General features: G+C 44.7%; 2 protein-coding genes across 5 annotated transcripts in view, besides 3 other annotated features; one reads left to right on the forward strand and one right to left on the reverse strand.

Moving 5' to 3' along the window:
• The window catches only part of EFHC1 (EF-hand domain containing 1), a 76857-nt gene extending 61279 nt beyond the window's left edge, over nucleotides 1-15578 (forward strand). For all 3 annotated transcript variants that reach the window (NR_033327.2, NM_018100.4, NM_001172420.2), the window contains 2 exons: nucleotides 8520-8730; nucleotides 10650-15578. Coding sequence is in view for 2 of the 3 variants with exons in the window: in NM_018100.4 (NP_060570.2) it covers nucleotides 8520-8730; nucleotides 10650-10721 (283 nt within the window). In the remaining variant the exon portion in view is untranslated. The remainder of the gene's footprint in view (nucleotides 1-8519; nucleotides 8731-10649) is intronic.
• Nucleotides 15788-25283, reverse strand: part of TRAM2 (translocation associated membrane protein 2) — a 79653-nt gene continuing 70157 nt past the window's right edge. For both annotated transcript variants that reach the window (NM_012288.4, XM_011515005.3), the window contains 4 exons: nucleotides 24412-24516; nucleotides 23979-24122; nucleotides 22971-23134; nucleotides 15788-21650 (listed from right to left, as the gene is read on the reverse strand). In NM_012288.4, the coding sequence (NP_036420.1) occupies nucleotides 21577-21650; nucleotides 22971-23134; nucleotides 23979-24122; nucleotides 24412-24516 (487 nt within the window). In that variant the 3' untranslated portion in view covers nucleotides 15788-21576. The remainder of the gene's footprint in view (nucleotides 21651-22970; nucleotides 23135-23978; nucleotides 24123-24411; nucleotides 24517-25283) is intronic.
• Nucleotides 16194-16395: a silencer, noted in NCBI's record as "fragment chr6:52362612-52362813 (GRCh37/hg19 assembly coordinates)". NCBI's record gives its function as "represses an EF-1alpha promoter that drives an FKBP-Casp9 reporter gene in an ReSE screen in phorbol 12-myristate 13-acetate-treated (for megakaryocytic differentiation) K562 erythroleukemia cells {active_cell/tissue: K562(+PMA)}" and the evidence as "EXISTENCE:reporter gene assay evidence [ECO:0000049][PMID:32094911]".
• Nucleotides 17479-17528: an enhancer, noted in NCBI's record as "active region_24679". NCBI's record gives its function as "activates an Ori minimal core promoter by ATAC-STARR-seq in GM12878 lymphoblastoid cells {active_cell/tissue: GM12878}" and the evidence as "EXISTENCE:reporter gene assay evidence [ECO:0000049][PMID:35858748]".
• Nucleotides 22146-23345: an enhancer, noted in NCBI's record as "P300/CBP strongly-dependent group 1 enhancer chr6:52368564-52369763 (GRCh37/hg19 assembly coordinates)". NCBI's record gives its function as "activates an origin of replication core promoter dependent on BRD2, BRD4, P300/CBP, MED14 and CDK7 cofactors, with strong dependence on P300/CBP, by STARR-seq in HCT116 cells {active_cell/tissue: HCT116}" and the evidence as "EXISTENCE:reporter gene assay evidence [ECO:0000049][PMID:35650434]".

The raw sequence follows: 25283 nt of genomic DNA on the forward strand, positions 1-25283 counted from the left end.
GATCCTCCTTGAGTTCAGCTTCCCAAGTAGCTGGAACTACAGGTGTACACCACTATTCCTAGCTAATTTTTAAATTTTCAGTAGAGACAGGGGTCTCAGTTTGTTGCCCAGAACTCCTGGGCTCAAGTGATTCTGCCTCCTTGGCCTCCCAAAGTGCTAGGATTACAGGCGTGAGCCATTGCTCCTGGCCTGGGTGAAATCTCTAAAGGAGTTAATGTAGCTAAAGAAAAGAATGGCTCTAAGAACTAAGCTCTGGGGTCCACCAACGCTTACAGTTAAGGAGACTGAAAAGGAAAACGAATAAAGCAGGAAGAAAATGTGGTATCCTGGATGTCAAATGAAGGGGTAGCATAGGACTGTAAAAAATAACATGCAAAACAATTTTAATAATCAAAGGGAAAATGTACAATTGTTCTGTGCCCTTTAAAAATTTTTGTCACTGCCAGGCGCGGTGGCTCATGCCTGTAATCCCAGCACTTTGGGAGGCCGAGGTGGGCGGATCATGAGGTCAGGAGTTCAAGACCAGCCTGACCAACATGGTGAACCCCCGTCTCTGCTAAAAATACAAAAAAATTAGCTAGGCATGGTGGTGCAGACCTATAATCCCAGCTACTCAGGAGGCTGAGGCAGGAGAATCACTTGAACCCAGGAGGCGGAGGTCGCAGTGAGCCAAGATTGCGCCACTGCACTCCAGCCTGGGCGACAGAGCAAGTCTCCGTCTCAAAAAAAAAAAAAATTTGTCACAGCATTAAAAATGTTATGGTTGTAAATGTATAAGGACATGAAAAAATAGTAAAACTAATTTTTACTTAGCACATTGTAATTTAAAACACTGATAACATTAATAATTAAAGTGTTTTATTTCTTTATAAAAACTTTATCAAAAGTGGTTTGAGCAGCACTTGCCTACTTCTCATTGTATAACTTATGATGCAGACTGAACGTCTGTTCTGTGCCTTGGTGAATTGTCATATTCCTGTTTAAGATTGGATCAACTTCCAACATTTTATGATTTTTGCTTTCAATGTTATAAAATATGTCTTAGACTTCCTTTAATGAGAATGAAATATCTCTGAGAGTTCTTTTAATGTGAAGCATTTTATAGGCATCTGGGATATCTTCATTCTTTTTATTACAAACACTTTTCTCATTTATGTTGATAGGTTTGCCTTCACCAGTTTCCACTGGCTGCACATCCAGATTCTCTTGAAAGGCAGCTGTGTCGACATTCCTACAGTCAGCTTTCTCTTCTATAACTCTATTTATATTTGACTTGAATTCACTTCTTGCATCTTTGCTGTACTTTCATCCTTATTGGCCAATTCTCTCTTTTGATTTTCCATTTTTGTAAAATAAAGTTTGTGTATCACTGAGAGACAAGGAGGCAAGATAGCTACACACTTTACTGTCTGCGTGAACTATAAAACAAATATACAGTGACTAGTCACCAACAGACTTTGAAAGAAGTGATGTAATTGTCACTGATTGTGATATGCATCTGTTTAATTACATTGTGGTTAGTGGACTAAAGTCCTGACAGATAAGTTTGTACTTTATGCAATTACTCATAGTTATTAACTGTGTTAACTGAAATTTGAACCATGTTGTTGGGGGAATGGGTTATTTTACTAAATGGTGGTAATCGAAATTCATGCATCTTGTAACTGTGCAAACTGAGAAATGCCATCATATCAAGGAAGACAGACTTGATGGAGGACAGGTGAGCTTCAAAATTAGGGCTCAGCCAGAGAGAGTTATTGGCTTTTCCCAAGAAAGAATTCCAGGGAGAGCTGGTGCTGTTAAACAGCAACTGTTTTTAAGCAACAGTGTACAGCAGCAGCTGAGGTTCTGCTCCTTGTAGAGTAGGGATACCCCATAGGCATTGTGCCCAGAATTGTAGCTCAAAGGCAGTTCTGCACTCATATTATGCAGAAATTTCCAGGAAAAGGGTGGTAACTTCCAGGTGTTCGCGTCGTTGCTGTGGAAAGGGGTGGTTACTTCCGGATGTTGTCATGGCAATGGTAAACTGATATGGCGCACTGGTGGGCATGTCTTATGGAAAGCTGCCTCTGCCCCAGACCTATTTTAGCTAGTCCTCAATTTGGCCCTGTGTCTGAGCCGAGCCTCCAGAGTCGAGCCCCACTTCCTACCTCAGAATGATTCATTATGTCAGATGGGGATTTAGCAATATTAAGGGAATTGGGGACCTTGGAGACCTTAATGAGGAGTTTCAGTGGAATGGGAAGAGGGGGAGAACCTGATGGCAGTAGATTTAAGAGAGAATGGGAGAGAGGAATTCTGGATCAGAGCGGAGACTACTCTTTTGGGGAGGTTTGGTGCAAGGGACAACAGAAAAATGGGGCAGCAGCTGGCAGAGAAAGTGAAGTCAGGAGAAGTTTTTGTTTTATTTTGTTTTTGCTTTTGTTTTTACATAGAATAAATAGCATGTTTGTATGCTAATGGGAATGATTCCATAGAGAGGAAAACATTGATAAGTGTGTGAGAGAGCGGGGACAATTTCTGGAGTTTGTGAGAGGATGGGGTTTAGTATGAGTGGAGGAATTGGCTTCAGATAGAAGCACCAACTATTCACCTAGGGCAGTATTTCTCAAACTTCCGGGTCTTGAGACACCTTTATACCCTTAAAAATTATTGAGGGCCCCAAAGAGTTTTTATGTGTTTATATCTATTGCTATTTAGCATATTAGAAATTGTATCTGAAAAATTTTCAAATATTAATTTATTTTGAAAACGATAAACCCATTTCATGTCAACACAACATAATTTTGTGAAAAATCAGTTTTTACAAACAAAAAAAATTTAGTGAGAAGAGTGATATTGCTTTACATTTTTGCAAACCTCTTAATGTCTGACTTACTTAGTAGTAGAAGATGACTGGATTTTCATGTGCTTTTGTATTCTGCCTGCGGTGATAGCCTGTGTTGTGTGACCTTTGGAAAACTCCATTGTGCACTTATGGGAAAACAAGAGTAAAAAGACAAATAATGACTAAGTATTATCACAAGAATAATTTTGACTTCACAGACCCCTGAAGGGTCTTGGGAACCTCCAAGAGTCCTGGGATTACTCTTTAAAACCTTGATCTAGGGCAACAGGCAAAAGGCAGCATATGTGGGTTCAGATTCTGGTAGGTGGGTAGATATTGGGAGGCCTTGTGATTGTTTCGTGATAGTAGTGCAGTAGAAACAGTGAGGATAGAGGGAGATGTTGGAGGTTTCAAGAGAGAGGAGAAGTTATGAAATGCTCTATTTTATTGAATATATAAATATCAATAAAATGAATATGAAATAAAATCTAAAACAGCATATTTTAGCTACTACTAAGAAAGAAAAAATTGCCAAATATAATCCATATCATTAATTGAAAATGCATGTTAATTCCACAGATGTTAAAATGTAAAAAAAAAAATTGTCTCATTTCATGGACACATCTTTAAAAAAAAATGCCTCAGGACTTAAACAAATATGATAGCTCTCCAGGAAAGTGGGAGGTTGAACGGACTAGAGAAGCGTAGTTTGGTGGTTGGACAGCATTAAAGGCCCACTTCATATTCATAGTCATATATTTAATTCAAGTACTTCCCGAAAGTTTTTTTCTGTAATTGTCACTTGTTTATGCAAATACCAGCAGACACTGGAAAGCTTCTTGCTTCAGCATACCACTAATTAAATCATCTTTAAAATTTTTTTAAATTTAGTAATTTAAGTTTTTTAAAATGTAGTAATGAGGAAAAGATACCACTGTGACTCTTAGAATATGATATCAATAAAAATAAGGAGAAATTCAAATTTTAGGTTGCCATATGGATATGGTTTGTTTGGCCCCAGCAAGCTATGGTTTTAGATATGGTTTGTTTGGCCCCATGAAGCCTTATGTTGAAATCTGATCCCCATTGTTGGAGATGGGCCTCATGGAAGGTGTCTGGATCCTGAGGGCAGATCCATCATAAATAGCTTGGTGCCATTCTCATAGGAATGAGTTCTCACTTGTAGTTCCCATGAGAACTGTTGTTGAAAAGAGCCTGGCACCACCTACTCTCTCTCTCTTGCCTCTTCTCTTATCATGTGATCTCTGCACATGTCTGCTCCCCTTCCCCTTCCACCATGAAGGGAAGCAGCCTGACATTTTCACTAGAAGCAAATGTTGGTACCATGTTCCTTATACAGTCTGCAGAACTCTGAGCCAAATAAGCCTGCTTTTCTTTTTTAAATAAATTACCAGCCTCAGTTATTTCATAGCAACACAAATGGACTACGACATGGGGTAAGAGATCCATTGCCATCCTCATTTTGATCCTCACCCCCGCCCTTCTTCTCTTGTGATGGGTCAGAGAGATGAGTTAGGAAAAACACATGGAGACGATACAAATCCACTGTCGCATCTTCTGTGCCTCTTAGCTATTCTGCGTTTAGCTCCCGACTCACCCATCTGATAAAGAATCGCGATCTAAGGAAATGCAGTTACAAATATATTTTGCCACTCATTGCAGAGTCATGAAAGGGGATCATGAGTACTTGTCAGACCAGTACTTTTTATGTCAATTGTCAGTTCTAAGATGATGAAATTTGGAGTTGGCCATTTGCTTTCTCTGAGCCAGAAAATTAGAATAATGCATAGGTAACTGAGTATTAACTTCATCTTCAAGTTCTTAAATTCTCTTTGGGTTTGGGGTCCTCCACTGCAGTATTTTGAACTCAAGACTTAAGGCCAGCAAATGCACACACTTATTAACCTACCTTCCACAGGAAATCCACATGTGTGAATAGCATAGATACATACACACATTTGTTCATATGTATTATTCTTGTTCCATTAACATGCCTATTTGTGCACTTTAGCTTCAAGAGGACCCTACTCACTTACTCAATTATCTTTTTAATCCTTTTCTTTTTCACTTCTAGCTACTTTTCCCATGAGAATTTTCCAAATATTCTCATTTTCTTTTCCATTTTCTTTAAGGAGATAGAAGTAATTGGTTTCAAATATGAGATCAAATGATCCAATGTGGGCTTCATCAGTTTTCTCACCCTTCATCTTAGAATGTTTCTCTACTATCACTCTTCTTCTCTTTACCTTCTTTTGTCAGAGATAAGTAACTCCTCCTATTTCTTCAAATCTAATTCTTCTATTTTGTGTCTGTAACCACTTTCCTCCTGACTGCTCCAGAATCTTTTTGACTTTTTTTAATGACTGCTTCATAAATTGCTTTCTTGAAGGTCATTGGTTGTTTCCAAGTATAATGGACTCTTCTCATTTAGTCATTAATTCAACAGATATTTGAGCTTATACCATATACCAAACTTTATATTAAATGCTTAGGCAATTATATGAGAGAATAGGGAGCTCATAATCTAGAGCAAGGGTTGGCAATTTTTTTTTTTTTAAGTGAAGGGACAGGTAGTAAGTAGTTTAGGCTTTGTGGGTCATACCTTCTTTGGCATGACTACTCAACTCTACCCTTACAGCGTGAAAGCAGCCGTAAACAATACATAAATGAATAGGAGTGGCTATATTTCAATAAAATTTTATGTATAAAAAATAGGCAGCAGGTTGGCTTTGGCCTGGGTGTCATAGTTTGCTGACCCCTTGGTATAGTCTTTAGTTTTTCTGATCTACATATAATATTGATTACTCTTTATTACCCCTCTTTTGAAATCCTCTCTTGAGTTCTGGAAATTCAAAGTTTCTGGTAGTCCTACCTCTCTTAAAGCCTATTGTGTGTGTCTTTCCTACTTCCGTCTACTAGGTTGGCATTTCTCAAGGTCCTGTTTTTGGTCCTTTTGCTTGCCTTCTCTAAACTTTCTAGACATTGCAGTATCTGAATTGCTCTCCATTCTGCTGAATCTATTTTCAACATGTCTTTGTCCATCTGAGCCACCAGCATCTCCCACTTTGTACAACTAAAAATGAAGCCATTGTCATTTTCATCTTTCTAGCACACCTGCTCTTCCTTATTCCTTCTTTTTGCTTATCTGTCTCATTTTCTAAGTGGAGGACTTTGCCAGGATGCTCATAGCAAAATATTCTAAGAGCACACAGAAAACTGTGACATCCCTCTTACCTCTGGAAGATTAGCCACTCTATAAAACACGTTCACTTTTATGGAAGTTATGGAAGGTCATTGGAGGGCTTGGCACAGAGTTCAACTAGCATGTTAGGACCTCCGGCCACCTCTCAGTTGGCAGTCCCTGTTGGACATAACCAGCTGGCCCCTCTGTTTTCTTGTTGAGCCATGTGAGCAAACCTTGCCCTGTAACTTGCAGCTCTTTTCCAGAGTGTGCCCTGACTTGGGCTTTGGCAATAAAGTAGGGGCTGTAACTTTAACTAGCTCTTCCTTAAACAGTACCACCTATTGCCATCTATCTGTGAATTTACTCCATCTTGCTCAAAGGCAGCAGATGCCATGGGTATTTTTCCTGCTGTATAAAGGGGAATGGGAATCTGGCTTCTTTGGGAAAGGGAGAGTTATTGTCTCTTTCCCCAAATGATTGGATGATCACATTTTAACTTTATATGTTTCATGGCTCTAGTTCTTGGAAACACATGCAAGATTGAGGTTTGACTGCTTTCTGCCACTAAAATAGCTCCCTGGTGGTCATTCATAATTTAGTATATATGATTTGAATTACATTCATCAGATAAACACATTCTGCTTCTATAATTAATAATGCCAGAGAGCATTTAGATATTGGGGATTATTACAACAATTTTTATTGTTCTTGGCTTACTACAAAAGTAACACATGACCAGAATTTGAAAATTTAGGGAATAAAAATCTAGGTAATAGAAATGGAAATAAACAAAAATTTTTGAAAATCTTATAACTCAGAGATAACTGCTTCTAATATTTTGTTTTTAAAGATGCATATAAAGTGGAAAATTCTGTAATACTATTTTGCTTTTTTCACTTGATAGTCTATCATGAACCCTTGTGAAATGAAATATTTGAAGACACAGATATGAAGGGACCAAGGAAAAGCTTTGTTCCTACCCCATCTTTCATGTACCCACTTCTTACCCTCCACTCCCCATAGGTAACTACCTCTTTCATTTATTTTTTTGAATATCTTTTCAGAGTTTCTTTAAATAATATAAGCAACTTTAAGTATATACTCTTATTCCCCCACAACTTTTATAACACAAGGTAACACTCTATACATACTTTTATGTCTTGAGTTTCTCACTAAAAATATCTTTATACTCTTTCTGCAGCATTGTCAATGGCTGCAGTATTATTCTGTTGCTTTATTGTAGTGTAAATTATTTAATTCCCTATTTTTGGACATTTAGACTATCTCAAAACAATCTTATAGATGTATCTTTGCATACAACCCATGATTATTTCCTTAGGATAAATTATTTGAGATTATTTGCTGGACTTTTGCTTCATGTTTCCAAATTTTTCCTGAAAGGTTATTCCACTTTATACCTTCCCCAGCAAGACTTGCCAGCAGGTAAAAGAGGGAAATAAGTTAAACAGAGGCTATTTGCAACAGTGAACTTTAAAAATATTATACGCAAGAAAAGTAAATACAGAAAAGCAATGGTAGATTGATAGTTTTCAAGTTACGGAAGGAGAGGAATTCAGTGAGAGGTGACTGGGCATAATTGAGAGAATATGTTGGAACTGGAGTGGGATGTGAGTGCTAGTTTTGCCGCTGACATGGGATCTGGGATCAGTCACTCGGGTCTTCAAATGTGTTTTCTCATCACTGAAAGAGGGAAGAATGCTTACTGACTTTATGTGGCCCATTTTGTTCTAAAAGGATTTATGAAGATGAAATATGAGGGAATCTTTCAGCTCTAAAATTTTTAATTTTATAACTGTACCTTCATGTTCAGAGGAAATAAAAATTGAGCCTCTACTTATTGTGGTTGTTTTTTGAAGGGTTAGACCTCTCTCTTCCCAACACCCTGTGTTACTATTCTCTCTTAATTTCAGTAAATGCTAAGCCCAAACTTCTCACTCTACCTCACAGAGCAATCTCTTAGCTTCCATAGATAACCTTTCACAAAATTCAGTGTGAATTGGAGAGGGAATAATATTAAAACTATAAAAGGTTGATTCTTGGCTACAGATCTATAGCTATATATTTATATCTATCATCTCTCTTTATATATATCACTCAGGCATTTAGTTGTAGATGAGGAAACATTAATCTGCAACAGTAGTAAGAGACAATGATGTGATTCTCACAGATACCAAATTTGGCATGGTGGTGGTATTAGATTTGCCTCCTTGTGATGCAGTGATTAACAGATGGCAGGAAAGGAGGCTGAGCAAGAAGGGAGGAAATTCAAAAACTGCCCCCAGTCGGGCCTTCCTGATGTGGAGGTCAGCTATCGGCCTGTGGGCAAGTGTTCAGTTATTGGTCAGCTCAGTCTCAAAGCTGTGATTAGAAGCTTCCCTGATTTCATCAAGTAAGAACTTTGGTCACCGAGATGAGACTGATCAAGAATAAATACCATGTGCAGTCATTTCCTTCCTTTCTCTACAGCAAGCAAACTGAAAAGGATCCAGGCGTGCAGGAATTGGAAGCATTAATAGACACAATTCAGAAGCAACTGAAAGATCACTCATGCAAAGACAACATTCGTGAGGCATTTCAAATTTATGACAAGGAAGCTTCAGGATATGTGGACAGAGACATGTTCTTTAAAATCTGTGAATCGCTTAACGTCCCAGTGGATGACTCCTTGGTTAAGGAGGTCAGTATGAATTACTCTTCTGAGTTCATTGCAGAGGCTAGGCACTGATCATTCTTTTCTAAAGGCAATTGTGTGTGTATTTCACTACAACTGGGCCAGATTTAGGATGTTCAGATCAGATCTACTATTCTGTCCTGATTAGGTATTGCCCGTTGATTCTAGCATTGGTATTCTTTTCTAATTGCTGTTGCAGGGCATCTCTTTAAGTGGGCCTGGGGCTGGACAACACAGAGTGGTTAGTAGACCAACATGTCAGGACTGAAGAAGGGCAACAGAGACGATCCAGGAGGGGTGGCTACCAAGGGGAGACTCAAAGATAAGTTGATAGAGCAGACTGGTTGGCAGCCTTTGATACCCTTCACAGCTGATACCTACACTGGCCCATCAGTAGGGTTAGCATGAAAGAAGGCATGACCACTGCAGGAGGGCTGTGGCATCTGTCAGTAGTGGTAGCATGGCCAGCAGCTGATGGAGGAAGGGCATGGAAGTTTTCTTCCTTGAATTTTCATAAGTGAGTTGAAGGGGGACTTTCATGCCTTTTCTTCATTATAAACCCTTTAGCCAGGGTTCCCTTGGAAGTCAGAACAAAGTCCCCCTGAGAAATGCCAAGGACTGTGGCTTATGATCATTGAGACATTCTTACTGATTAAAAATATTGAGATTCTGAGGCCTTTTTAAAGATCTTTTAGCCAAAACAGGTGTTCAGAATTTAAGAGTCATTTAGGAAAGGGTTTGGTTTAGGGCTAGTGACTAGGTTGGAGATGAGGATTTTTCATAGACAGAAACATTAGCAGGGAGTGAGTAGGAGGGCAGATAGAAGAGTATTTGTTCATGTGGACCAAACACACATTTAGCTCCCCAAATTTTAGGTTGACAGCATGCCCAACTTTTGATTTTCAAATTCTTCATACTGTCTGATGTGGGAACTGACATGGGAGAGAGGGATGGCAGTCATTGGCAAGTGGAGCAGGGAAGTGGGGGTGGGACAGATTTGCACATCTTATAAAAATAACCACAGAAAATCAGTCTGTTACCAGTCACAGTCGAGTTTTAAGGGACACAGGTTGAGCAGTGGCATAACCAGACCCTTCCGTTAGGCTGTGGTAGCAAGAGCCTGCTATTTAAAAAGTCTTACTCCTCATGAGCTGAGTGGACAGTCTTTTATTTGAATATAAAAACAACTAAAAGTGCTTTTATAAATATGGATGTTAGTTCTGAAATCTTGGGAAATGTGGCAGACTGCCACGGTTACTTGAGACATCTCTACGACAATTACTACTGTTACTACTTGAGACCGTCATTACGAGAGTTAACGAAGGAAGATGAAAGCAGAAATGAAAACTTAAAACAAAAGTAACTATTTTAAAGGAAGGGAAAGAAGAGAGCTCCCTGCTTCTAGTGAGCAAAGGCAACCGCCCGAGCTGCTACAGCCCTTCATATTTATTGGGTAGAAAGAGCAGGGATTAATTGATCACAGGTTCACATTATTGCTAACAGGCTTCAGATGTGTCTAATCACAAGAAACACTTGTGCCTGGGTCGTGACTGCCTTCAGCGTTCCTTCTGGGCAGCAGACGCAGTTTGTCAGTTTGCCAACATCCTGCTTTCATGAGAAACAGTTTACTGTTTACTCATAGAGCCTCCAGTGGTATACTGAGTTGATCATGACGCTCATTCTTTCGGCCTTCAACAGGGAAGGTCATTTACTCCATCCAGCTTTGGTTTCATTAAGTGTAAGATGGGGATAATGTCTGTCCTACCTGCCAGGTTCACAGGATCATTTCAGAATCAACTTGAGGATACAAAAATTCTGAACTGATTTACAAAGGCTCGGGATCATTATGCATAAGCGCACTCTGCAGTTGAGCTGACGGAAGCCCTGCAGATCTGTCTCACCTATTCTCTTTGCTCTCTCTGCAGTTAATCAGGATGTGCTCTCATGGAGAAGGCAAAATTAACTACTATAACTTTGTTCGTGCTTTCTCAAACTGACCTGCTGATGAGAAAATGCAAGACAATTTTTGATACTGGAACTATGCTTTGAAATACACCTTACACTCTTCATAGAGGCATTTACAGGGTTCCTGAAGTTTTATTTCTGTTTTGGTTCTTCTTTCACTCCTACTGAAGTCGAAACTAAATTGGATCTAATAGGATCTAAGATTGGTGCCTTATTTAGGGTGATAGGGGTATAGCAATGTCTAATTTTGTGTGTCAAATTGACTTGGCCACAGGGGGCCCAAATATTTCCTTTCTTTCTTTTTAAAAAAATAAATTTTTTTAGAGATGGGATCTCACTCTGTCATACAGGCTGGAGTGTGGTGGCACTATCCTAGTTCTATGAAGCCTCAGACTCCTGGGCTCAAGTGATCCTCCCACTTCAACCTCCCCAGTAGCTGGGACAACAGGCTCAAGCCACCATGCCCAGCTAATTTTTAAAATTATTTTGTAGAGACAAGGTCTTGCTAGGTTGCCTGAACTTGTCTCAAACTCATGAGCTCCAGAAATTCTCCCACCTCAGCCTCCAAAAGTGCTGGGATTATAGGCATGAGCCACTGTGCCCAGCCTCAGATATTTCATTATTCTGGGGGTTTCTCTGAAGGTATTTTTCGATGAGATAAACATTTGAATCAGAAGACTAAGTAAAACAGATAGTCCTCCCTAATGTGGGTGGGCCTCCTCCAATCATTTGAAGACATGAGTAGAATAAAAAGGCTGACCTTTCCCCAGGTAAGAGAATTCCTCCTGCCTGACTGGCTTCAAATTGGAACATCAGCCTTTTCTTGCCTTCAGACACAAATGGAAACATCAGCTGTTGGTCTGGAGCCTGCTGACCTTCAGACTGGACCTAAACCATCAGCTCTCCTAAGTCATAGGCCTTTGGATTCAGACTGGAATTATACCTTTAGCTCTCCTGGGTCTCCAGCTTGCCAATTTACCCTGCAGATCTTGGGACTTGTAAGCCTTCATAATTGTGTGAGCAATTTCTTATAACTCTCTCTTTCTCTCTCTCTACATATATATATATATATATATTTTATATGTACACATTCATACACACACACGCTTATATGTATACATATAGTATGTATATGTGTATATATATTATGTATATACATATATGTGCACACATCTCTACTAAAAATAGAAAAATTAGCCAGGTGTGGTGGCGTGTGCCTGTAGTCCCAGCCACTCGGGAGGCTTAAATGGGAGAATCACTTGAACCCTGGAGGCAGAGGTTGCAGTGAGCCAAGACCACGCCACTGCACTCCATCCAGCCTGGGTGACAGAGCAAGACTCCATCTCAAAAAAAAAAAGGTTAGAAAAATGCTGCTTTTAGAGAGCCTGGCCTTGAGAGAGGAAGGAAAGACTAGTTGCAGTTACTATTCTCTGGTGAGCTCTGACTGGCTTTTTACAAACAGGGCTTCTCTTTGGTTGAAGTCAGCCACTAAGTTCATCTTTAAACATGCTATCTCAAATTCCCCGAAGCCACCCAAAATGTGGTATGAATGAGGATAGAGTTACACAGAATTCAGACTGCTTTGCCCTCTCAGAACTTCTAGGGAACTTCCCTTGGTGTTTCCTTCCCTAACGAGCTCAGCCACTTGTAACCAGCTTATTGAAAGGGCTGTGAATGTATTATGTTGATTCCTTTTCTGTTCCAGGTTATTATCTTGGGAATAACCCATGTTTTGTTTTGTTTTACCCTCAGTCGCTCATAACTATTTAAAACAGTATCTCTTTCAAGTACAGATGCTCCTCTACTTATGGGGCTATGTCTCAATAAACTCACGTAAGTAAAAAATATCACAAGTTGAAAACACATTTAATAACCCTGATAAGCCCATTGTAAAGTAGGCAAATAAGTTGGACCATTGAAAGTTGGGGACTATCTGTATTTTAGAAGTTTTTTCAGCTTAAAAATTACCAAGCTCTATCCTACTTGGCCCAGCTCAGTCCTTCCCCCAGGCTTAGAAGCCTGTGGTAAAGAGTGTGTGTATACTGGGGTGATGATAGTGGTTTCTTCTTACTCCCTTCTTTCTGTCTTCTGCTCCCTTTGTTCCTATTCAGCCATGCTGCTGTTTCTAGCCCATGTAGGCTCTGGGAAAGGTTAAGCGGGTAGAAACCAGAGAAAAAGGGCAAAGTCTTATTTCTGTGGCTAGTAATGTCGTAATGTGGGGCCAGGTCTGAGTGACATGTGCCGAAAGGCTGACTCTTTCTCCCAGAGCACCTTTTCTCTCTTTTTGGATTCAGGGGGTACATGTGCAGGTTTGTTACATGAGTATATTGCACCCAGGTAGTGAGCATAGTGCCCAGTAAGTAGTTTTTCCACACATACCCCCTCCTTCCCTTCCCACTCTGGTAGTCCCCAGTGTCTATTGTTCCCATCATTATGTCTATGTGTATTCAATGTTTAGCTCCCACTTAGAAGTAAGAACATGCAATATTTGGTTTCCTATTCCTGCATCAATTCACTTTAGGATAATGGCCTCCAGCTGCATCCATGTTGCTGCAGAATACATGATTTCATTTTTTATGGCTGCGTAGTATTCCATGGTGTAGATATACTTCATTTAAAAAATCTAATCCACCATTGATTGGCACCTAGGTTGATTCCATGTCCTTTGCTCAGAGCCCCGTTTTGGTGAGTTCTTAGAACTCTTTCCAACCGGAAACTGCCCAGTGCACCACTCTCAGATGGACGGGACCCAGTCTGTACCTGATCACCCCGGCTCTAATGGTATGGTCTCCAAGGCTCCTTCTGATCTTCCCAGGAGGCCCTTTCAGGCTGACACACCTTCCAGGGTGTGCACTCTCGCCATGTTCTCACCCAGATGGCTCTCTTGGCTGTGTAATTAGGCAGCTCAATCCCTTTCCTTTAGACTGTTTCAGGGGAGAACCAGGTACCCCAAATCTTATGCTCTCCAAACTCCAGGGGACAGACACATGTCAAACCCTGAGTCTTTTAAAGTATACCCTCACTTAGCTTGCAGACCCAAGGCACTCCAGCCCCTTTCAAGAAGCTTGCACTTTCTGATATTTTCTCCATCACTCTTGCCTCCTGTGGTAGAGGAGCTTTGGGCTACTCCTTAACAAATCATTCATGGATCGGCAGCAAATCTGCAACATATGGATATATTTGCCAATTTTTGTCCTCAGCTTTGGGTCTCAGCCAAAATGGAGATTTAGGAAAGTCTCATTTAGCATCCTCTAGCCTGCTTTTGGCTGTTTTGTTTTGTTTTTGTGTTTGTTTTTTAGAGACAGGGTCTTACTCTGTTGCCAGACTGGAATGCGGTGGTGTGACCATAGCTCACTGCAGCCTCAAACTCCTGGGCTCATGCAATCCTCCTGCCTCAGCCTTCTGAGTAGCTAGGCCTGTAGTCTCAGAGGGAACTGTCTTCAATAAAGTTGGCACTGTCCACATACACTCCTTAAGTTTGCTGTCCACTTCTTGCCTTGCATCTCCTTTTAAGTTTACTTAAGACTGAGAAGCTGAGATCTGACAGCACCAACACAAGGTATAAAAGAGATTTCATGAAAGACCAAAGCCAGCAGGCCATTTCTGTGGTGTCCAAACACTCGCTGCTCACCTGTTTATACAAAGCAGCAAGTATAGGAGCCACAAACGTCAGAGCAAATCACTTTTTCTACTAAAATCCTGAATGGCAGTGCAGCCATTAGATGTCACTAATTACCTTATGCTACAGTCATAGCTGGCATGCATCTGGAGTGTCAGGTTCAGGTGGTGGAAGGGAGCTGAGCATTACCCTGTAGCAAGCAATATTGTAGGAAGCAGAAATGATCATCACTTCAAACTGGCCACCAGGGAGTTGAAAGATTCTAATACACACACACACCCACACACACACACACACAAAGAGAGAATGAGAATTATTAAGATTAGCACTGGTAGCTGAAGCTATCAGGTCTAACTGAAGCATTTGACTAAGACTGCTTATAGTGCTTACGGCTTTGGGACTAATAAAAATCTGCCTTGCGGGTAAAGATGGGCTGTGAGTTAGCCACTACTCAGAAACCTGGGCCTGTACCTTGTCTGCACCATCAGGGGGCCTTGAAAATACCATCCAATTAAGGTGTATCAAATCCATATCTATAGGCTTTGAGGGTATTTGGGACACATAGGTAGAGAAGACGTCTCTAAATGTTGTCCAGAGAATCCACTTGGTTAAGTGACTCCTGAGTATCCTGCTGGCACATAAGTTCATTTTAAAAAGCCAATATGAGTGCTTTATATGTACCATGAACTTAGCATTCAGTATCTCTAAATCTCTCACCATGACTCCCCACAAAACATGAAACCCTTTTGACACAGATGCACAAAAAGACTCGGAAGGGTTAACTGCTTGAGTTCACCTAGCTTCTCATGGCAGAGCAGGACCCAACTCTACAATGAAGCTTGCCATGCATCAGAACCACTCACCTTCACCTCAAGCAAACATTTCCTCTTTCTCACACCCCATGGGTGTCCTTGACTAACTGCCACCTGTAACTGCACTCATCTTTTGAGATCTTTTTCCAAAGAAAGATGGTTCTGGTAAACACAGCAAGCAGCTACAGCCAACAGCAGCCATGTAAGTGACACCAGCAATCCCCACTATTACTAATACTTGGATGTCTTCTAGTCAGCACCAACATATTTGTTGGCCTTTACACAAACGAAACCCCATTTCCTCCAAGCTAAATAACATCATAGTATAGTAGGCATCAAGGATGATGTGCTTGTTTCTGGAGCTTCCTACCCACAAACCCCATGTTAAGAAAACCTCTTTTCCACTTTACTATTAAAGAGTCAAATAAAAATGATGCTTATTGCTATCCAGCACTTGACATAACTGACTCTCCATCCTTAATTCCCTAATTCATATCACAATGGACAAATACGGGTCAAAATATATAAGAAATGACTAATATAGTGAAAAATAATAGACATGAGGGCTAAAATTCATTGCAAACTCCTTTAAGCAAACGTAAACATCCACGTTAAAAGCATCACTGTATAAAAGCACGTCAAGGAAATAATTATGAGACAATTCTGATAATTTTCTGCCTTTTATTGTTATTTCAGAAAATATTTGATCATTTGTTCCAAAATGTACATTTAAAAAATCCATACAAAACTGTAATTTGTTTTAAAACCAGACAGAAACAGTGGAAAAATGATTTTGAAAAAAAGTTCACCAAAAGCAAAAAGACACCCCTCCCCCCAACCCTTTTTTACATGAAAGCATAAATACGGCAGGTACAAATTTTCCTTGAGTTCCTTGTTGAAATTTGGTCCATATGAACAGGCTAGAGTAGAAAACAGACACTTTGTCCACATTTGCATTATCAGTTGCTCAGGGCACCAGCAGCCTTAGTTCATCCTTCAGATGTTTTTTTAAACAGAGGAACCGAAAAATGAGGTTTACAGTCTCATCACATGAACACTCAAATCTGTACCCAAGGAAACAGCGGTATTATATTTACTGTCACAGCTAGACCCTATCAGGTGAACAGGGCTCTCCACCTGCGGCTGTTGCTTCGCAAAATATCCTTCCTCTCCACGTGAACAAGTAGCTCTAGAGTGCTTTTAGGCAGAGTGACGGTGATGTCATGGGCACCACGCCAATCTTATTCCTGGACAATGACTTAAGCCCCATCGTGAGAATGGTTTTTTCCTCTTCAACACATTTTTTAAAAATAGACCTCTAAGATGATGCTACATGTTCTAAAAGAGTGCCACAGAAACCCACCCAGGATCACAAGAATGACAACAAAAGGAAAGTGGCTATTTCTTGTGTAAGGGATGACGACTCCCCCTCCCATGGGTCCCATTTCTCCCCCAGTTGCAGGTGTTTTAAGGGACAGAAAGGCTGTGGAAAGGACCACTGGCTGGGAGAGTTATTGCACAACCCGGAAGAGTGAGAAAAACGTGGGCGGGCAAGGGGTAGGGGAGAGGGTTGCTGCGACTAAAACAAGGTAACACTGAATTAGGAGCTCGAACAGTTCTGCAACAGTCAGACATGTATGTGTTTATGTGTTAGCACTTGGAGACTGGGAAGTAAAAGTAAACACCTTTATCATATAAACTTTGGGCTGAATGGGAAGCAAAATAGACCAAAAGAGGTTACGGCAAGTGGGCCTTTTAAAAAAAATCTGGGGGTGGGGAAAATAACGGAGAAGGAGTTTGCTATGTGGGGCCAGAGGAGAGTTTTCGAAGTGGGGGCTGGAAGCTCTGGGCTTCTCTTAATAGGTATGCTTGTGGTTGGGCCACCTCACAGACTTCCACAGCCACCCAGCTGGGCCAGAAGAGAACTGACACAAGGGAGAAACCAAAAACAAAACAGAACACACCACAGACCCTAATCCTGGGCAGCGGGGTTAGAAACAAATGGGGTGAAACTGTCACAATCCGTGTCCCTTTTATATATAACTATACTGAGGTATGGTGTCCTTGGCTGCCGTCGAGCCCTGGCAACTGGGGGCTGGCCACGGAGTACAAGTTGAAAACCACACAGCAAAGTAAGGCACTTATTCTCACACACAGGCGCACGCACGCAATCTGCTTGGGACAAAAAGTCTACAGGGGTTGCCAAGCACGAAAGGCTACATGGAGACTGCAAATCCCAATGCTCGTCTTTATAGCTCTGCCACTCCAGGGAACTCCATAAAAGAATGAGGCAGCTTTCACTGGGGAGAACTGGTCTTCAGCCTTTGCAAGGTGGAGCTAACACTCATGTGAGTAGTGGGGTAGAGTGAGAAGTTGGTAAAGTCTTCCTCACTGGGACAACCTTGAGCTGGAGAGAGATCCTATTTAGGTTTTCCAGTCATCTGACAATGACCTAATCCTCCAATAATCCTGAAAATCCTCTCCTGAGAAAAGGAACCATAAGCTCGGAAGGCAGAGTGAGGGAGGAAGAGCACTCCATTGTCTTGACTCAAAAGCTTTCAGCACTCCCTCTGTTAGAGGAGAGAGCTTAGAACATCAAGAATTGAAGTTTGTGCACTTGTGCCATAGGCCCTTAAGCAAAAGAATTAGTTATGTGCAGACTTCCCTACCTCTCACACCAGGCCTAGAAAAACCAACTAGGAAGGCTGAAGCATACAAAGGAAACCCAAGCGAAGGCCTTTTCTAGGCACAAGGGGGTCGGCAACCCACTTCCAATTAAAGCATCCATGGAAGATAAGAATTTTGTTGTGGAATCCTGGGAGGAGATGCACTCTTTCACCCAACCTCTTATTAGCTGCTTAGAAAAAAGAAGGGGTACTGACAAAGGAGGTCCCAAAAGAGACCCCAGAAGCACACACCCACCCCAAGCTTCAGGGGTTCTTAGGGTCCCAGGGTTTCCGGTCAAGAGAAGGATCTGTGAACGTGGCCAGGGCAGAGGTGTCTATTGGGGTTTCTTAAATGTTGGGAAGTTATGCCTTGGGACATGAACAGACAAGTTTCTCAGCAACCATTTCGGTCTGGTGGCCCAGACACACATGGGATTAGAACTGACTCAAAAGGGAGGACAGCAGATCCCCCGCCGGCTCAGCCTGCTCCCCTCTCACCCAGAACCATCCCCTACCTTCAAAAGGAACACATGCAATTTATTAATAGTGCAGCTATCAGCGCCCGGATGGTAAAAATAACTCCCATCATCACTGCACCTCCAAGGAGGGGAGCGGGTAGCACAGATCCTTGGTCCACCAGCGCCACCTCCCTCTCCTCCTGCTGTGTCTGTTGGCTTCCCCACAAATGTAAGTTAGTTAGCCAGGGCTGTCGAGAGGCCACAGTTGCTGGGGTAGGTTTACGTCTTTTCTCCTGCTCTTGGTGCATGGTGCTGAGCTCTCAAGCTTGGAGGTGTCTGGCAGAGCCTTCACAAATGGCTTGGCACTTTGGGGCAGGAGAGAATGCATAAAACTGAAGAAAACAGCCAAAGTGGCCAAAATTAGAACAAGCTAGCCCAACACGCTCATAGGATGAAGTGGAATTATTTCAGCTCTGGCAACACAGTCTGTGTCAACCTGCCACAGACTTGGCTCTGCTGTGAAATAAACGTGCCAGGGAGGGTGGCAGGGGGAGGGGGGTGACAAAGTACCCTACAACTACCCTCTAACCACCCCCCCCAAACATCCCTGAAGCCCAGGCTGGCAAGATGCCAGCCCCACTCATGGTCTCAGGGTTTTTTTTTGTTTTTTTTTTTTTTTTTACATAAAATAAACCCTTAGCACACCCGTCCACTGGGAAGCAGAGCCTAAGCTGACCCCGGCCACTGGGCTGGTGGGACCACATCCAAGGCATGAAGTACTGGCAGCACGGGGAGCTTGCAAGAGACAGGGACATGAAGTTGTGGCGTCTCTGGCACGCAAGTGTCCTGGGACAGAGCAATGGAAACCTACAGGCATGAGAATGAGGGTTGCTTGATGGCAAGATTTCAGCTGCTCTGCTCACACTACCTCTCCAGCAACTGGCACAACGCAGGCACCTGGCACATCCCAGCATGCCATACATATCTGTTGAAGCCACAACTCAACAGTTTAACCTGGACTCACCTGAGAGAGGCCTCCTGCATGTGAAGCCCTGCCAATGACACAGCCTGGAGAGCACCTAGGATGGGTGTTCTCTAATGGGGGAGGAAGGTGGGCTTAGGAGGCTGCTGGCTGAACATGCGATTTGCAGTTATTAGGCAAGGTGGGGGGCCTGAACTCAATTATAGACTCTGTCAGGGCTGTTTGACTAAAGTGGCTAAGGGATCCCATATCAGGTCTGCTGTGTTGAAACCAAACTGCCCTTTTACCAACGTTTCTGCTGTGCAGCCCAGAGAAGTGTCAGGGAAGGAGAGGGAGAAATGGGGGAAATACATATTTTCAAAAACACTGTCTCACTTCCTAAGGGTAATCAAAAGCAACCACGGGTAGCTCTTCCCATTTCTGCAACCTTATCGTAGAGAGGGATGAAGGCCTCCAATGGCGTTAGGAAACAAATCCCTCAGTTACTGGGAAGCTAAAATTTATCTATGATGTAAGTGACTTGGAGAAGGGGAGTTGCCTTGATGAAAAGACCCATTTCCCCCCTTTTGAATCTAAATCCAAGGTTTGGTTTCTACTGTGATGTCAGAAAGATGACCAGTATTCCAAATGACACTACTATTCCTGCACCTACCAAGAACTACTCCCCTTTGCCTCAAAACAGAGTTCGGAGGTTCTTAATTGGGACTTTTGTTTTTTTAGACAGAATTTCGCTCTTGTTGTCCAGGCTGGAGTGCCATGGTACAATCTCCGCTCACTGCAACCTCCGCCTTCTAGGTTCAAGCGATTCTCCTGCCTCAGCCTCCCGAGTAGCTGGGATTACAGGTGCCTGCCACTACACCTAATTTTTTGTATTTTTAGTAGAGATGGGGTTTCACCATGTTGGCCAGGCTGGTCTTGAACTCCTAACCTCAGGTGATCTGCCCACCTCGACCTCCCAAAGTGCTGGGATAACAGGCGTAAGCTACTGCGTCCGGCCGTAATTAGGACCGGCTTTTTAAAGCTGAACGCCCCTTCTAAAAGTCCTCACAAGGCACCAAAAGGACTTGGAGGCCTTCTCTTCAGGTGGAGGGGAGGGGAAAGAATCTGTGAGGGAAGGGGCCAGAAAGGCGCCTATCATCTACCCAGAGAGTGACTCTCAGTCAGTCATGGTTTCATGCAGTCTAAAATGCTGTAGTTGTGCTCAAAAAACGACAATTCCAAAGAACACTCAACAAGGGCGGCCAGATGAACAGCGGTCCAAGTGACCCTCCCTGAACACCAAGGGACCAGCATGGGGCTGAAGCCCTTGAGACTTAGTGTTTCTGCAGCTAGAGATGAAGTCAAGGTAGTAAGTTTGGCCCCTGACGGGGCTGGCTGGCTCTGGAGGTGAGGACCAGCCTATCTCAGGCAGGTATATGAACTGCTGTTTGGTTTGGTTTTGAATGCTTGTGAATGGCTGAAAAAGCAATGGCGACTGGGACTGCTGGAGAAAGGCCTAGGTCGACTCCACTGTGGGTTCTGCCACCATTACCTTTCTGGAGGTGCCTGCTGCGCAGTTTGCTCTGCTCTCGCTCTAAGCAGTGGGAAGACGTGTCCCCCCCCACAGAGCGACAGCAGGCTGGCTTCCAATCCGCGGCCAGCCACTGGTAGGAGCTCGAGTCACGGGACCCAACCGAGTTCACACCATCCTTCTGGATTGAGTTGTCACGTCCCAAAGCCAAATGCCTTGGCATTTACAACGAGCAGTGGCTGCTGTGCCTCAAGATGGTACATGCAGAACTGGAATCATATATCTCGTCAGTTAATCAGCACCAAGGAGATTATGATCCGAGATGGCCGCTCTCTTCTTGCCCATCCACATGAGGACCACCAAGGGCCTACCAGCCCCAGGCTTCTGACCGGCAGGCCCTGGGGGACCGAAGGACAGGACTGCAATCTTAGCTCCCCTCCCATTGTAAAAATCAGACAGAAAAATTGCAAGATAAGGTGAAAATAGGAAGTAAAAAGGAAAAGCAGCAGCCATAAGGCAAGAGACAGAGCAAGCAGAAAGGTGCCAGCCATGGGCGCCTGGCGTTCCAGAAAAGCCAGCACAGGACAGGAGTGAGGACAGGAGGTGGCCTGAGGGGGAGAAAGAGAAAGATTTTTGGCTTTATTGAGAATGGTTTGTGGAAGAATAAGAGGAAGCCAAGAAGAAGGAAAGCGAAACGCCCCCTCCCCCCATTGCAAGACAGGTTTCGGCTGTTTGAGACGGAGCATCACAGGCAGGAAGGAGGAGGCAGGGAGGGGGCCTGGGCTCCTTGCCCCCTGCTCGGCCCCCACCAAGAGGATTCCTGTTCTTAGCACTTTGGCCTTAGGGAGACTTGAGTTTCTTAGTCCGTGGGGAGGTTCCGTTCTCTGCCTTCACCACTCCATTTTCATGGTAACCTGGGAAGTGGAGAGAGACAAGCATACATGGTGTTTCTGCTGGAGCTAAGGCAGAAGAGGGGAGGGTGGGGCCAGGCCAAGGAAGGGGCCCGGGCAGCCCAGCTGCTATACATGGATGCACCAAAGGGGCGCCAGGCTGCAGCCTTGCACAGCAAATGCAAGCCAGCAGACGGCTCCCAGGAGGGTCCTGTCTTCCCCAGGGCCCTGGACTAGTGGCCCTGTTTGAGAGGCTTGGTCTCTGACTGCACTTTAGCAGGAGGGGCCTGGGATGACACACAGTAACTCAGCAACAACAGAGGCCAGCCTGCCCAAGCCTGAGGCTGGGGCTAGATACTCGCCGAAATCACTTAGATGCTGTCACTGCTCACTGTCCTCAGTTCTTCTCAGGCCCCTGCAAGGCATCAGCCCACTTCCAGTTCAGCAAGAACTCCCAGGAGCAGTGGCCACAGAAGGGAGGGGGACAAGAGGCTGTAGGAACAAGGCCTCAAGCAGGATGCCTGACACTCCTCTGGCAGAAAAATTGTGCTCTATTGTTCAAAATACCTCCGTGCGCTTGCTCAAATTCAGAGGTACTGGCTGCAGTCTTATGCCCCATACCTCCCCCGCCAGCCAGGCCTGACTCTGTGACACACCCAGCTGCGCGCGTGTCTGGTTCAAACACACATAAGCCTTTGCCAAGCAGGTGGCCACCTAGAGAAAAGCAGGTGAGTCAGAAAGCAGCGCCCAGTGCAGACAGGCCCCCAGGCTGGGCAGAACGTGCAGGGCTGGCAGGGCCTGAGGACCTGCTGAAGGTGGGTGATGACTGGAGTGCGTGCACGGGCCAAAGGATAAGTGTCCCACCCCTACCCCCCACCTAGCACTATGTCACTGTGAGTCATTCTTGGAGACAGAGGAGGAGCCAGCAAGCTGGGAGGCAGGGGCAGGCTAAGATGTGGAGCAAAAGGGCAGGTGAGGACAGAGGCCGCCGTCCGGCACTGAGAATGGGCGGCGGCGGCAGTAGCAGCACTTGGCTGGGGTCCAGAAGCCACCCTGAGGACACGCTTCCTGCCAGAGTTCCCCACCCAGCCACTGCCCTGCCCCGTGGTGGCCAGGGCTCCCAGCCTAGTTAGGGCCAGCCCCACCCACAGCCTGTCCCTGGCCCACACCCAGCCACGTGCCAATCAGGGAGCTAGGAGCCCCAGCCCTGAGGTAAGAGTCAGGAAGGAGAAGCTGGCAGGATTGGTCTGGGCAGCGCCCAAGAAGCCAGGTGCCTTGGCTCCTCCCACCCATCCCAGACAGACTTCCCTGGCTCCACTCTCTGCCAAGGGCCCTGGCACTCACCAGATTCCCTCTTGATGAGCCTGGCTGGTAGTCTGGGTGTGGCTGGGACTCTCCGCTTTGCACTCTGCTCATTCCAGTATTCCCGCCAGTGCCGCAGCTGGGAGTGGATGAAGCGCCACATGAGCCAGGCCTGGGCGGCACACACCAGCAGCAGCACGCAGAGCCTGCAGAGCAGGGGGTTAGGGGCTTAGGCTGGGGCTTGGGCTCACAGCCTTGGGCTGGGTTGTGCAGGGGAGAACAAGGGCCAGGGGCCCTGCAGTTCCCATGGCTTATCACGTCCGCCTTCACCACTGGCCCTCTTCGATACCACCACTATCACCAGGAAGAATGTGTGCTTCAGTCAGTCTCTGCTCCAGCATACATCACATGTGCCAGGGAGACGGGAAGGAAGTGGCGACAGACGTACGGCCAGCTCTACAATCACGCTACTCCTATGACGAGGGAGGGGTCCATGGCTGTGTCTGTTTTGCGCCCATTGCACAGAACAAGACTAATGTAAGCTCCACAAATATTGGTAGCATTCAAATGAACTGAATTTCTGGAAGAGTGGCTTCTCATTTAACATGTCACTTAAAAGTGGAGCAACCCTGGACAAATCACTCTCCTGGGCCTAGGGGCTCCGGAAAATAGTGGCTTCCTCACTGCCACAGGAGGCCACTGGCCAAGCCATTAAGCACATGGTTTTAAAGCACCCACACACAAGAAGAGGAGAATGATATCAACTGAGAGACTGGGTGTGATGCCTCTGTGCACCACAAAGTGCCAGACAAATGTAAGGGATTCCTATTTGGACTACAGTCTGAGCAAACCAGGACTAGGGGATGAAGATGGTTTGGATGGAACCAGAGGCTGCTATCTCTTCTCCCCTCAGGCCTGATATCCAGAGATTTCCAAAAAATAACAATATGTGGGAGACTAAAGGGTCTGCTGCCTCCAGACCTTCTGCAAGGGCTGTGCCAAGTTCAGGAGGCTCCCTGGCTTATCACCTTGGACTTCTGCTCGACTCACCTGCAAAACAAAGTGTTGAAGTTCCCTTTCTCGGGATCAAATGCCTGGTTTTCCATGCGAGCCAGTCCAAAGCCAATGGCCAGCACGGCAAGGGTGAGGATGAAGAGGCGGGTAACCCCAAAAACAGCAGCCCAGGCACTGAACCTGCTCACAGAGGCAGAAGAGGGATGTCAGTCTTTAGCGCCCTTGAAGGAATCTTCACCCACTTCTCCAGAAGAGACCCCGAGTGGGAAGAGGATTCAAGGGTGGCTGGGGAAAGTGCTTGAGGGACGAGATATCTAAAATCAGATGTTCCAGAAAAAAATAACGGGAGGGCACCACCTGCAGGTAAGCGGGCAGTGTGCAACCAGGGAGGGACCCTCCAACCATCCGGGCCTCGGGGGAACCCCTGCCCAGGCCTCTAAGCGGGCCAGCCTGCAGCAGACCCACTTACAGTTTCTCGTTGTTTTCATCTGCAAAGTAGAAGAGTCTAGCCGTGTGGAAGAGGAACTCAGTTGAGTACTGCAGCAGCAGCAAGATCAGGCCCAGGCGGCTCAGGCTGGGGGTGGGGAAGACTAGACTTACATTCCCTCCAAGATGCTGCGTGGAGCAGAAGCCATTGCATCTTGGCTCAGGCTGTCCCCTGTGCCTGGCTGGGCTCTGCTTTCCACTCCCACTTTCCCTGGCTGGCTCTGCTCCATCCTTTGGATTCAGTTTAGCTCTCACACCTTTAAGACATTTTTCCTAATACCGACCCGCTGGCCGTTCAGCTGTCCTGTCTCAGTCAGATGCCCTTGCCTGCTCCCACAGCAAACCTCGCATAGGCCCTTCACAGTACTTAGCACCTTGCACTCATCACCTAGGCTGGAACCAAGTACATAAAAGGTACTCAGAACACATTTGCTGAGCTCTGAGTATAGGAATATGAAATGTTCCTGTTGTCTGACTTTCCATTATCCAAGTCTTCACAGCTCCGAGGTACATGCAGAAGCAGCAAGTGCTCCTTCTGTGTGGCCCTGCTTATACGTTCTTCCCCGGTCCTCGCCACTGCTACGGTGACAGTGCAGACTGGCTTCTTAGACCCGTTATGCATGTGACACATGACCATCCAACACAAGGGCAGAGCTGGCATCACCCCACAGCCTTCAGCCCTCAAAGACCCATCCGGGAACTGACGCTGCTACAGGCCACCAGAGACAGGAGACAGAGTTTGAGAGCTCCTTCCCTGCCTCAGTCTTACTAATCCAAGTCAGTCATTCACACAGGATGCCTGCTGCAAGGACCTAGTCCAACGCACCTCGGGATTTCCAGGCACCTCGGCAGAAA

The sequence above is a fragment of the Homo sapiens genome, chromosome 6 (assembly GCF_000001405.40).
Source record: "Homo sapiens chromosome 6, GRCh38.p14 Primary Assembly".
Lineage (NCBI taxonomy): Eukaryota > Metazoa > Chordata > Mammalia > Primates > Hominidae > Homo > Homo sapiens.